This window comes from Homo sapiens, chromosome 2 (genome assembly GCF_000001405.40).
Source record: "Homo sapiens chromosome 2, GRCh38.p14 Primary Assembly".
Taxonomy (NCBI): Eukaryota; Metazoa; Chordata; class Mammalia; order Primates; family Hominidae; genus Homo; species Homo sapiens.
The window spans coordinates 239986251-240000458 of NC_000002.12; the positions used below are offsets into that span (position 1 = coordinate 239986251).

The 14208-nt window shown below is 42.0% G+C and overlaps 1 protein-coding gene across 9 annotated transcripts in view; it reads right to left on the minus strand.

Annotated features, from left to right (window-relative positions):
* NDUFA10 (NADH:ubiquinone oxidoreductase subunit A10) overlaps positions 1-14208 on the minus strand; it is a 132901-nt gene that overhangs the window by 93809 nt on the left and 24884 nt on the right. For 5 of the 9 annotated variants that reach the window (NR_136157.2, NR_136155.2, NM_004544.4 and 2 more), the window contains one exon: positions 3824-3932. The exons of 3 other annotated variants lie outside the window; for them this stretch is intronic. Coding sequence is in view for 4 of the 6 variants with exons in the window: in NM_004544.4 (NP_004535.1) it covers positions 3824-3932 (109 nt within the window). In the remaining 2 variants the exon portion in view is untranslated. Of the gene's footprint in view, positions 1-3823; positions 3933-5977; positions 14138-14208 lie in introns of those variants that run through there. One more of the 9 variants, XM_047444487.1, reaches the window with a different exon arrangement.

Genomic DNA, 14208 nt, shown 5'->3' on the forward strand with positions numbered 1-14208 from the left:
GAAGACAGCCTTCCTTCCTTCAAGTTCAAATGGAAAGCTGTTCTGCGGGACTGGAGAATGCCTGCCTGCACCTGCCTGGGTGGCAGGGATTAGGGACGCCATGGTAGCAGAGACAGGAGACTAGCTACGCCCCGTGGGATTCCGGCAGGTAAATACACTTAGATGACAGGGGCTGGCTTTCTCATCATCTGAGAAGGATATGGACCACGAGAGCACTAAAATGAACCTTGATGTGTTGCACTGGAACTGAAGACACTGGTGTGTATTCACAGTTTTCAACAAATAGAAACACAGAAACAAGTATAGATGTATCTGAATAAACAGGAATCTGGGAGTCCATAGTGATATATGGAAATCAATGAATAAATAAATGGGGAGAAGGGAAACTACTTGCTTCTAGTAGGACACTACCTGGTCATACAGAAAGAACGATAGAAACAGAAAATTATAATTTGGCAATCATCATAGTAATAATTTAGCCAAGAAAATCAATGGATGCTAAAACTACTGAGTGAAAGTTTGATGAGGAAGAGGACATGTACATATTCTCAAAGTATGTCCCCCTCAAAATACTGACTAAATATTAAGAGTAAAAGATAACTTTATAGTGAAGACACCACCTTAACAAGCAATAAAGGTAACAAAAGCAGTGATGGGACAAATGGGAACCATATGCCAAATATCCCTCAAAACCACATTGAGGGATATTCAGCAAGGTAACTGTTCTGTAGTCTTCAAAAATGTCAAGGTCTTGAATGCCAAGAAAAGCCTGAGGAACTGATCCAGATTCAAAGAGATGTAGCAGAGGAAACAATTCAATGCAGGCCATCACCCTGGATTGGCTATTCTTGCTCAGAAGAACATGGCTAGGATAAATGACTGCTCATGAAGAGGGCCTATGGATTGGACAGCAGTAACGTGTGATGCTCATGAAGAGGGCCTGTGGACTGGACAGCAGTAACGCGTGATGCTCATTTCCTGACTCTGACAGCTGTCCTGGGGTTGTGGAGGAGAACACCCTTGTTTGTGAGAATTACACATTCAAGCCACGATTCTCAAACCAGGCGCTGTGCATCGACAGGAGGACTCGCTCGAATGCGTGTCTGGGCCCCATCCCCTGCGTGTCTAGTCCAGGAGGCCTGGACTGAAGCCTGAGAACTTACATTCCCAACAGCAGTTCAAATGATCCTGACACCGAGACCACACTCGGCGAACCATCACATTCAAGAGTTTGAAGATAACAGACCATCATGTTAATAACTTACCTTAAATGGTTCAGGAAAAGTTATTTTTCTTTTTTTAGTTTGGAACATCCCAAACTACCCAAACTAAAAAAAAACAAATAGGTAAAAATGATGATCAAATAAAGACCATTTTAAAAAATAAGTGTGAGAATTTAGTATTAGCAAAAAATTCTTCAGGCAGAAGGCCAAGGATGCTACATGCAGGCGCAGCGCCCAGGGAAGGGGTGGGCAGCCGTGGGGCGAATGCGCAGGCAGAGCTGCCGAGCACAGCTCCGAACAGTCGCAGATGCCTGTGGGACTAACACGTATGGAGAATTAAGACGACCGAGATCATGCAAAACATGCGAGTGGGTACTCTGCTCTGGAACTGGAAAGCTAATTGATCTTCAACATCATTAAACCAAAGATAAATATTTTAATTATCAGTTTAGTAACAAAAAGCTATTAAAAGAATGATAACTAGTAGTAGGGAAATAGGTGGGGTAAATGGAATAAAGAAAAAAAAGAAGAAAAAATACATAGAACAGGTAGAAAAAATATAAAACAGTAAGATAACTATTTACAAATATATCAGTAATTGCATTAAATGTGAACAGATAAATATCCTAAATATTCAGAATAAAAAATTTAAAAATAACTGCAAATTACAAGGTATCCATATTGAATATAAAGACACAGAAAGCTTGAAATTAAAGGACATAGAAAAAGTTACATCATGCATATACTAACCAAAAGAAAGTTTCAGATGCTACATAAATATTGAATAAACTTTACAGTAAGAAGCACCACTAAAGGTAAAGAGGAAAACATCATCATGAAAAGGGTGACCCTCCTAACAAGGCAATTCTAAATTGGTACGCATCTAATCATACGGCCCTAAAACATACATGAGACAAAATCTCACAAAACGGAAAGGGGGCACAAATCCACAAAGAGTGGCAGACTTTAACACACCTCCTACAGGAAAGGAAGGACTTCAGGCACAGGACTGAGATGGTGGGTTCTGCATTGAGATCACGGCTGCTTCTGCCTTACTGGAGAAGGACTGAGGGCAGAGACTAAACCCAAGGAGACCAAGAGGAAGCCGCCGAACAAGCTCAGGTGGGAATGATGGCAGCCTGGAGGTCAACAGGAAGAAGCGAAGCCACTTGTGAAACAGACGCAACAGGACCTGGCCACTCACAAAAGCAGAGACAGGGAACGAACACCAAGTGTGGGTTTTCTGGCCTACACAAGAGCAGCAAGCAAAGCACCAGCTACAGCGTTGATGCCAGGGAAGCAGCAAATCCGCAGAGCCCCACTCAAAGAGGGAGAAACAGCACATGCACTCACACACGTGTACAAGGACAGAAAGGGAGACACAGCACACACACTCACACACGTGTACAAGGACAGAAAGGGAGACACAGCACACACACTCACACACGTGTACAAGGACAGAAAGGGAGAAACAGCACACACACACAAGTGTACAAGGACAGAAAGGGAGAAACAGCACACACTCACACACGTGTACAAGGACAGATAAGGGAGAAACAGCACGCGCACTCACACAAGTATACAAGGACAAAGGGAGAAACAGCACACACACTCACACACGTGTACAAAGACAGAAGGAGGTGAACACAGATTATTAACCGCAGGTGCCTCTGAGAGATATCTTTATGGTTTTATGTGTTTTCCCCAAATCCTCACACTGAATAAAACCACTTCCAAAACAATCCAAAAAATTTACTTAAAAGAAAATGCCAAGTAGAGTAAGAAAGCAAGCAAGGGGATCTACTCAGACTTTCAGTGGGTGCTTCAGGCAATTTGCTCATATCAACTCAGACAATTATAGTAATGCAAAAAGATTTAGATTTCAACTCATCTACATGTTGAAGGCATAGCTTGGAGTTCTGATTTAATACAACTATTTCACTTTTACCCATAACAAACCACAGCCACCACTGCCGCGGATATGGATCGTGCTCTTCCCAGTCCACTGACATTGGGATTTGCAGTGCAGGCTGCAACTCACCCGCTGGTTCCCAGCGAAACTTACACACGCCTCGAACCTAATGGAATCTTGCCAGAACAAATAACTCACTAAGAAGGTATGGCAATTGGATAAGAAGATCAATGACACAGTTGCCCCTACCAACTTCCACCCTCGCTGTCTGTCCCAAGCTCTGCCTGCCCTCCCTATGTCCTCCCATATGGCCTAAGGGCCTTCTGCAGAAATGGAACCCTCATTATTTACAGACAAAGAGTAAGAAAATACCAGAAGTAACATCTGACAGTAAAGAAACTGACATAACAGCTGATGAACAGAGTGTTCTCCTATCAAGATAATATGCCTGATGAAGAACCTTCCAGAAGAACATCTCTGCTCTGGGGCTGTCATCTGAGGACTTCATCAGCTTTCCACACAGAAATACGGGGAAAAGGGAGAATTATTTCAATGAAAAAGAGGCTCCTTCACTAAAACAAACAAAACACAGCAACAACAAAAACTCCTTTCTGGAGAAGTGACTGCATTGTCCCCAGGTGCTGCAGACTCATCCACTGGCCAGCTTTCTCCATTTCCACAGTCTTACCTCTCTGAACTGATGTAAGACACGGTCAGTCTGATGAGCTCCAATGGTGACTTCCGGGAGAAAGATAGGAATGCTTGTGTAATTCAGCACCTCAAACTTATCCTGAACCCTAAAAAATAAGACACATGTGGATCACACCAAACCATCAAAATAAATACAATAAAAGAAGTGTAAGTCCGATTTTTTTTAAACATCCATATAAAAAATCTATATATCCCAATAAATGCTATTCGTTGCCAAGCAATCATCCCAGCAGCAAAGCCTTCCTCCCAAAGACCACATGGTCGATCTGGAGCTGCTTTTTAATATTACTCTCAGAACCTGAGGTAGCATCTTTTAAAAGCCTCAGTACCTACATAGGACGACCTTCTGGGAATGGATGCTGTTTTGGAGACATAGAAAAAGGAGGCAAAGTGTGCTTTAAACACAGGAATAGCAGGAACAAAAAGCTAGAAGCAAATGGTTACATGACAGTGCTACACACAAAGCATGCCCCCATTAACAATTTTCCAGATGAGTGGATCTTGGGGCAGGAACGGTGAGTAGCTTCAGTCCCTCTGGGGTTGCAGCCAGCGTCTTACTGCTCTGTTCTGTATGCTGAGGCCAACATAGGATGGTCTGTTGTACCACGGCTTGTAAAAGGTCTAATTCTCCACTTTTCTTGGCACCAATAAATATACAAATCATAGGATAGTCTCTTAGCTTTATCATTTCATTTTGCTGAATGTTAAAATATTTATACTTTGTTACAATTTGCTTATTTTAAATTAAATATAGTCTGAATATAACCACTATACTTAAAGATTTTTAAAAAGCATTTTTTCAGCTTTTGGAAAAAAAAACATTAAAATAAAGTCTCTTTTCTTAAGGGCTCAAAACAAAGAAAATAATTATTTTCAACAGTCACATTCCCATTACTGAGTTATAAAAGCAGGAGACGTTTCTCATTTGTAATGGCTCAAATGGAAATTATGTGAGTGTATCTGGCTCTCGGCCAGACTTTGTGAGACAGTCCAGGCCCACTGAGCAAACCCACGGCCTGTTCCCCACAGTACCCAGGTAGGCTCTCCCACAAACAGAACAACCTGACCAGAACCCAAGGCTCACGGGATCCATGAATCATGCTTCCACAGACAGCCACAGAGCTGCGAACCTGCGGCAAGCTGAAGATGAGTGGACGGTAGGTATAGCGTCAGGAGCGTCCTAGTAAAAACCGCGTCGCTCATACACGGTTAGTGATCCAATAATGCAAATGCCCCTCCAAGAAACTGCTGCCAGGATAACAATGATCGTTTGCTTTCCTAAGTGTATTTATGTGCGTTTCCACATGGGTAGGCAAATGGCTGTAATGTACATACTTACAGATAAGATCGTTTTCTTAGTTTTACTATTAAGTTGGTTTTACTTGCCAAAAGATATGCAAATATTTTTTAAAAACTCAAGCAAGCAAAACAGAAAGTTTGTGAAGGGCATAAAGTTGCTGTATTTTGTAAGACTGCATTAATTGTAAGACTACAAGTTCCCTCTCCAGAGGAAACTGCTGCTAGCTTTCCTTATGCATTCTATCTAAACACTTCCATGCATGTGTCAATAATCTACAAGTACGTATCTTCTTACTGTTAACACAAATATAAGGATAATTTTTGAAGTGATCTCACAATAAGAAATTCCAACTAAAAATGAAGTTCATATTTTAAATGTTAACAAATATCAATGTAGGGAGGTGACATGGTTCTCTTTACAGTTTGAAAAACCTAAGAAAATGCTAGAAAATGCGAAAGCAATCAGTGGCCTGGACCATGTGTAGTATAGAGAGCAACAGCGCCATCTATGCTTAATTTGGCAACATTACATGTAGTCCCGGAAAATCTTTTAACAAGTAGGCTTCAAACTATTTTTGAAGATTAAAAAAAGAATCTGTTGCAATGATTCTACAATTTATTTATACCTAACCAAACTACCCTTTCAATTTATTACTATGAGCTTAATGATGACTACTAGGAAGAGTCCATGGTATATCTCCAGTAAACTCCTAGATTTAAGTAAGAAATAAAGATACAAGGAATCATTTTATGACTCAGGAAGCAAAAGGCAGTGAAAGAAAATATTCTCTTCACAAAGCACTTAGTTTCATTAAGAAGAATTCAAAACTGATTGAGGATAATATATCCTTTTAATATCATAAGTCACTGTCTAAAGAAGAATATAAAATATACTAGAGCTTGGTTACAATATGAGGTGCTGGGACACGTATTTTAAAACAAGAGTAAGGCAGGAACACAGAAAAAAGAATAAAATTGTAAATAGTGTTTTATGACTCAAGCTGTTTCCCAATTAACTGAATGTCAACACTTTGTCCTATAACATTTCCAAACCCTATTTTTCAGTTTCTCCTGAATTGCAAAGTTCTATCTGAAACACTGTACTTCTGAAACCAAACTCACATGCTACAGTTTCTGTAGCACTGAAATTTCATGTTAAAAAGACGTGCTCCAGGAGTCATGTAAAAATCTTGGCAATTAAGCAAAAAGAAGGTGGGTGTGAAGGTCTGGGCTCTGGAGAAGCAGGGATGGTCTGAGAGGAGCTTGCACAGCTGGAGGCCTGACGTGTCCTCGGAGGTCCTGACTGGACTGAAACCAGCCCAAGCAGGCGCCAGTCAGTTAGGGATGTGGATATGAACAAGACTGAAAAATACAATTACTGCCTCTCAGCACAAGCATAGCTATACACATACACATAATTAGACACTGGCAACACGTAACTGAGATGGTGCAGAAATGTTCTAAACCAATAATTTGGTCAGGTTATGGATAAAATGAATGTCACTGGTAAGCGGCATGTTTACAATAATTATGTTAGAAAATTGGTCATAATTATCACTTGAGTCCCTCAATTGAGAAATGGTACTCAAATGAAAATAAACACAATTGATATTGTAAACTTATGAAACATCTTTGGGGAGGAAGAAAGGCAAAATACCAGGAGAAAAAAGGACAAAGCCATTCATAGTGAGCTAGATTAAAACAACGGAATGCTATAATTGATACACTATGGGGGAATTACAGGATCCTTCTCTATGCTCCGATAAGCACATAACTAAATAACTACATGAATGGTGCAGAATCGAACCAACACACATTTCACACTGTGTTTAGAAAATGACACTGTTACCACAGGGAGGTCAAGTCAGACACAATCCCTTGTCTCCGTAAGTTTGTTAGATGTCATATGATGCCCAGCAGTAGCTAATACTAACAAACAAGGATACCATATACATTCATATAAGTAACAGCCTACAAGAGTTAAGGGAAGGTGTCAGGGAGAAAAAAGGGTGATTACGTCCAAGCTTTAAAGACTGCTAGGATTTCTAGGTAACTACTGGGCAGGTGGTGGTGGAAGAAGGGCCTGGCAGATTGCCTGGTATCCTGGTAGAAGACGCAGAACCAGGGCAGACTGGGATTCTGAATTAATTCTGGGAAAGGAAATTCAGACCTATGACTAAATGAAGATAGGCCACTCAAAGATTCAAGTAAAGAGAAAACAGGGTCACTGTGACTTTTTAAAAAAATAAACCTGGTGGGAGTGGGATGAAGAAATAAAGAGGCAGAGGAGCAGAGACCAAGAACCAGGGGATTACACACCAAGGGGAGCAGCAGTGTTAGAGACAAGGGAGAGAAGTCACTGAAAGTGGCACACTGACCTGCAGGGTGTGACTTTGGGGAGGATAAGGGGGTCAGCAGGGAAAAAGGAGGGTTCAAGCTAGGATTATGGTTGACAGAGGAGTCAAAGGTTCCACCAGGATTCAAGCCTGAACAGACGGCAGGAGGGAAGGCAAGATGGCCCAGGGCACAGGACCACACAGAGGATGCAGAGAGCAGCAGCTCTAGCTCCTGCAGCCCGAGAGGTGAGATGCCCCACACAGTCACACAACCTTGGCAGGCTCGAGCTCTCGAGTCATGGTCTCCTCCTTGTAAAATGAGGGAGTCCCGCCCCACAGAAGTGCTGTGGAACAGACAAATTATTTCCGAAACACCTTCCAGACGCTGTGTTGACATCTACTGTTAACTATGAGATTTCAGACATAACAGCAAAACACGGTTCAGCAGGGTCCTGTCCCCAGCCTCCGGGCCACAAACCTCTGCAACCTGTTAGGAACCTGGCCACACAGCAGGAGGTGAGCAAGCAAGCCAGTGAAGCTTCATCTGTATTTATAGCCGATTCCCCTGCTCGCATTACTGCCTGAGCTCCACCTGCTGTCAGACCAGGGCAGCATGAGATTCTCACAGGAGCACAAACCCTATTGTGAACTGTGCATACAAGGGATCTAGTTTGCACACTCCTTATGAGAATCTAATGCCTGATGATCTGTCACTGTCTCCCATCACCCCCAGATGGGACCATCTAGTTGCAGGAAAACAAGCTCAGGGCTCCCACTGATTTTACATCATGGTGAGTTGTAGAATTATTTCATTATATATAAGAATGTAATAATAAGAGAAATAAAGTACCCAATAAATGTAACGCACTTGAATCATGCTGAAACCATCCACCCATCCCCGCCCCAGTCTGTGTAAAAACTGCCTTCCATGAAACCGGTCCCTGGTGCCAAAAAGGTTTGGGACCGCTGCAATAGAGCAGTTTAAAGAGAAGGTGGAGGTTTTTTAAAGCAAAGTTTTGAATAATAGAGTATATCATTTAGGTAAATTTACAAACACACACACAAATATAGGCATCTAGTCCAAAATGTTAACAGAGTTTTAAAAAACAAAGAGGGAACTTCCAGCTTCAGCTCCAAAGGGTGAAGGCTGGAAGCTGTAATTTCCATCCTTCCAATAAGAAAAAACTGAAAATCAATGGCCTTTCCTGGACTAACAGCAACAATGAATTGAGTGATTTTATAGCTTATAAAAAGTGGAAGAGGCCGGGTGCGGCGACTCATGTCTGTAATCTCAGCACTTTGGGAGGCCAGGGCAGGCAGATCACTTGAGATTAGGAGTTTGTGACTAGGTGGGCAACATGGCAAAACCCCATTCCTACTAAAAATACAAAAATTAGCCAGGTGTGGTGGTGCACGCCTGTAGTATCAGCTACTTGGGAGGCTGATACATAAGAACTGCTGGAACCCAGGAAGGGGAGGCTGCAGTGAGCCAAGATCATGCCACTGCAGCCTGGGCGATGGGCAACAGAGCAAGACCCTGTCTCAAAGAAAAAAAAAAGTGGAAGGAATGGCAGCCATGTCACAGTGACAGCAGGAGGAGCCAAGAAGACTGTGCCGTCGGTACCTGCAGCCCCATGGAGCAGCAGCACCATCACGAAGTAGACCTAGATGGGTTGTAAATGTATACTGGAAACTCCACAGCAACCACTACAAACATTTTTTTAAAGTACAATCAAGATGTTAAGGGAAAAGATAAAAGAGAATCTTATAAAATGCTCAATGAAATCCAGAGAAGGCAGAAAAAGAGGCAGGGAGAAACAACAAATGCAGCAAACAGAAAACAGGGAAAAGCATGGTAAAATGGAACTTGATTATCTTCACGCTCACTTCTAACATGAATGGTCCAAATACAGCAATTAAAAGACAGAGACTGTCAGAGTAGATTAAAACACAAGACCCAATTACTACTTACTATCTACAAGAAAACTAAAGACTCGAGATAGAAGAGGAAAAAAGACACACCATGCCCACACTAATTGAAAGCTGCAGTGGCTATATTAAATTCAGATAGAGCTGACTTCAAACAAGGACAAACATCAGCGAAAAAGAGGGGCATTACATAACGATAAAGCGGCCAATTCTTCAAGAAGATAATAACCTAAGATAATAAACTATGTACCTAACAACAGTACCTCAAAATATATGATGCAAAAACTAATAGAACCCAAGGGAGAAATAGACAAATCCAGCGCTGTTGGAAATTTAAACCCAACTCTCAGTAACCGACAGATCCAGCAGAGAGAAAATCCGTAAGGAGACCGATGACCCCAACTCTGAGTAACCAACAGATCCAGCAGAGGGAAAATCAGTAAAGATACCGATGACCCCAACTCTGAGTAACCGATGGACCCAGCAGAGAGAAAATCAGTAAGGATACCGATGACTTGAATACCACCGTCAATCGGCTCGATCTGACATTTATACAACACTCCAGCAACAGCAGAATCTACACTCTTCTCAAGCTGAATTGGAACACTAATCAAGATAGGAAACACTGGCCATAGAAAACCTTAATAAATGTAAATGGAGAGAAATCATACACAGTGTATTCTCAGACCACAAGAGAATTAAACTAGAAATCAACAACAGAAAGATACCTAGAAAATCCCTACATGCCTGGAGATTAAACAACACACTTCTAAATAACATGTGGGTCAAAGAAAAAGTCTCAAAATATTTTTTAAAACATTTTGAACGAAAATAAAAATACAACTTATCCACATTTGTGTGATACAGCAAAAGCAGCACCTACAGGGAAACTGACAGCACTGATGCATATGCAACCATTCTTCTGTTGTCCAGGGCTTCCTTCCCAGACCACCACTAATACCAAAATCTGAGGATGCTCAAGTCCCTTACATAAAATCATACAGTATTTGCATATAAACTATGCACACACTCCCCACACACTTTAAATGAAGCTTGTCCAACCCATGGCTGTATTCAGCCCAGGGCAGCTTTGAATGCAGCCCAACATAAATTCATAAACTTTCTTAAAACATTGTGAGTTTTTTTGCCTTTTTTTTTTTTTAACTCATCAGCTATCGTCAGTGTTATTTTATGTGTGGTCCAAGACAATTCTTCTTCTTCCAATGTGGCCCAGGGAAGCCAAAAGATTGGACACCCCTGCTTTAAATCATCTCTAGAGTATGTATAATACCTAATGCAATGTAATACAATAATATAGTATTATAATATCTAATACAATGTAAATGCTATATAAATAGTTGTTATACTGTATTTTTACATTTTTATTATTTTTTTATTGCTGTGTTATTTTTATTGGCTTTTTTCCCAAATATTTTTGATCCAAGGTTGGTTGAATCCAAGGATGCGGAACCCAGGGATACAAAGGGCTGACTATATTAGAAAAGAAAAAAGATCTAAAGTCAATAAGCTTAGGAATCTATAGAAAAAGAACAAGTGAAGCCTAAAGAAAGCAGAGAAAAAATAATAAAACTAGGGTATACATCAATAAAACAGAAAACAACTGGATAAATCATCAAAACAAAAACCAGGTTCTTCGAAAAAGTTAATAAATATGAAGGGAAAATTCACAAAGAGCAAATAAATAGCCAATAAAAATATAAATTGAAGTTTAGTGTTTATAAAATGCAAAGTAAAACAAATACTTGTATGGGTATCAGAATCGAAAGTTTTTGTTTGCATTTTGTTTAATTATATTCTTTATAGGGAAATTCAGAGAACCAGGTCCAAGTATGAATACTGGTACACATATTCCGGAGAATCATTTTGCAAAAACTCAATAGCTGTAAAATGCGTTCATATACTCTGACCACTTTTATACCTTAAGTAACCTGAAATTGAACAAGAAGGGGTACTACATGCTCTTTACTGTATTATGAACATGAAGAAACTGAAATAATCCAAGAGATCTATTTTAAAGAAACAGTAAATTATGCAGATTATGTAGTGTCGGAGAAGTCAAAACTTTTTCTGTAAATGGCCGGATAGCAAATACCAGGCTTTGAGAGCTATATACAGTTTCCATCACATAATCCTTCCTTTTCCTTCCAATCCTTTAAAAACGTTAAGGATCATTCTTAGCAGCTGACGGCTGGATCTGGCCCACAGGCCAAACAGTTTGCCAAGCCCTGATTTGCATCTCAATCAATGGTAAGTGCAGCATATATGGGGAGCCATGAAAAAATCAAATTTTAAAATGTTTAACAAAACAGGAACATGCTCAAAATATTGGAAGTAGAATACAAAAATACACACAAGATATATTTAGAAATATATGCACACACAAATATTTAAAGACTGGAAGAACCTGCATTCAACTGTTAATCCTGGCACTGTGGTGGCAGAAGCGCAGGTGATTTGATTCTATATTCAACCTTTGTTCCCGACTTTCTCTTCCAAGAGGGTGTGCCTTTGGCCTCTCATCCACTTTGTCATTTCAGTCCCCTCACCCCTCCCTCCTTCACTTTCCTCCTTACCCAGACTAAGCGTCATGGTTCACCACTACTCACATGCGATTTTGTCTGTGCTCAGTTCCCTTGCCCCTCTCTTACAAAACCTCAGTCCTGTTAAAATCCCAGGCTCTGCCCAAGGTAAAAAACCACATCTCCTAGGTTCGGATTTGCCTCCCCTGCCTGAAGTTTTTCTGCCAAAAGCACAGCTCTTGCGCTCTCAGAAAGCCTTTCCTTCGCCACACACAGAGCAGGCCTATGCTGCTGTCTGTGGCAGGGCCTCCTTGCGAGGCTGGCCCTTGGTTGGCTTCTGGAAACTCAGCTTCTAAAAAGTGCCCCATGCTAATGAGGCTGGGCAGCAAACTCAGCCCTACCAGGGTACGATGGGAGTTATGGAGAACACCTGCCTTCTTTCTGGGAGTCTGGAACCTGAGTAGTTGCGAAGCAGAGGATTCCTACGTGACCAGCCCCCAGTAAAAATTACGGGCAGTGAGTGTCTAAAGGGCTTTCCAGGCAGAAATACTGCCCATATGTTACTGTATTTTTCACTGCTTGAGAAAGTTGCTCAATCAATGTGTCAGTGTCCCTCACAGGAGGAAGAGCCTGTGCATGGATTTCTCCAGAGTCCAACATGTCTTTTTTTGTATTGATCTGTCTGCGTATCTGTCCTCATTCACTGTGATAAATCTTATTCTGAACAGAGATAGGCAGCTACCACAGAGGGAGCCCCCAAGGCTCCAACCCACAGCACACAGGCTCAGGATGCTGCACCAGGTAAGGACCACATGGAGCTGAGCTGCTGGCAGAGGGGAGGAGGCTGTGGGAACCAAGGAAGCTACCAAAGTGAACTTGGGTCTCCGAACTCACCACAGAAGCGGGGACTCCAGGAATTCTGTGGCAGGTTGTTTCTTTCTCCCTCTACTTTATATGAAAAACACCTGCAGTGACCAACTCAAGACTATGAATGGTCATCACCGCACAATGACATGGTGGCTGCCCCTGTTTCACGTAGGGATGCACGTTTTCATTCTGGACAGGGAACAACGGTGAATGCCGACCGTCCTCTGCATTCTCTGGGTGGACAGTCTGGGGCTGTTTTCCACCTGGCCCTTTAGATCTCCTCTCTACCATTCCTCCAAGGTGCTCTGTGCCCAGAGGCTGGCTCCTTGCATCCGAGGGGCTCTACTGCCCTCTGACTTCAAGCACAGCTGGGTGGATGATTGTTCTGCTGGTTCCCTGCATGCGGGTTCCCCATCCCCCTCGGGCTCCATCTGATGCTGGACAGCCTCTTCCATAGCAGCAGCAGCAGCAGCTCTGGACTCCAAAACCCAGTGCCCCCGCCCTCAACTGCCAGTTTCCCACTGTGGATGGCCTGGGTGTCTCACCATCCTGTTGCTTCCCTCAACCCTGCCCTGCTCTTTATCAATGGTTCCTTTACGTAACTCTCTTCTGTTCTCTGGTCAAATGTGCCATCTGTTTCCTACGAGGAACCTGACAGCTGCAGCTAAAGCTGAATTTTGGGAAAATGGAAATGTTACGGCAAATTCACAAAGTTATACTGATGGAGAGTGCACAACAGAGCCTTCCCGTGGCTTTCCTGTGAAACCCATGTTGTTTGTACCATGTGACAGGTTCCTGCCGGTTTCCAGTTATGCACAGCATGGCGTTTCCATCCACAACAGGTCACATATACAATGTGGTCCTACAAGATTCTAGTGGAGCTGAACACTTCCTATCACAGCAGCTGTCACAGCGCCGTGGCTCAGCGCATGACTCCCGTGTCTGCGGTGATGTGGCATTGACAAACCTACTGCACTGCCAGTCGTGGAAGAGTCCAGCACATACAATTATGTACAGTACAGAATACCTGATATTCTCATCAATGACCATGTTACTGCTTTAGGTTATTTACTATACTAGACATTTCATCGTGATTTTTAGAGTACTCATCTTACTTATTTAAAAAAGTAACTGTACAACAGCCTCAGGCAGGTCCTTCAGGCGGCATCCAGAAGAAGGCATCATTGTCACAGGAGGTGACAGCTCCACGCGTGTTACTGCCCGTGAAGGCCTTCCAGTGAGAAAGGTGTGGAGGTGGAAGACAGTGATACAGATGCTCCCGACTCCAGGTAGGCCCAGGCCACTGTGTTTGTATCTTAACTAACAACAACAACAACAAAAGTTTAAAAAGTAAAAATAAATAATTTTAAAAATCAGAAAATACTTCTAGA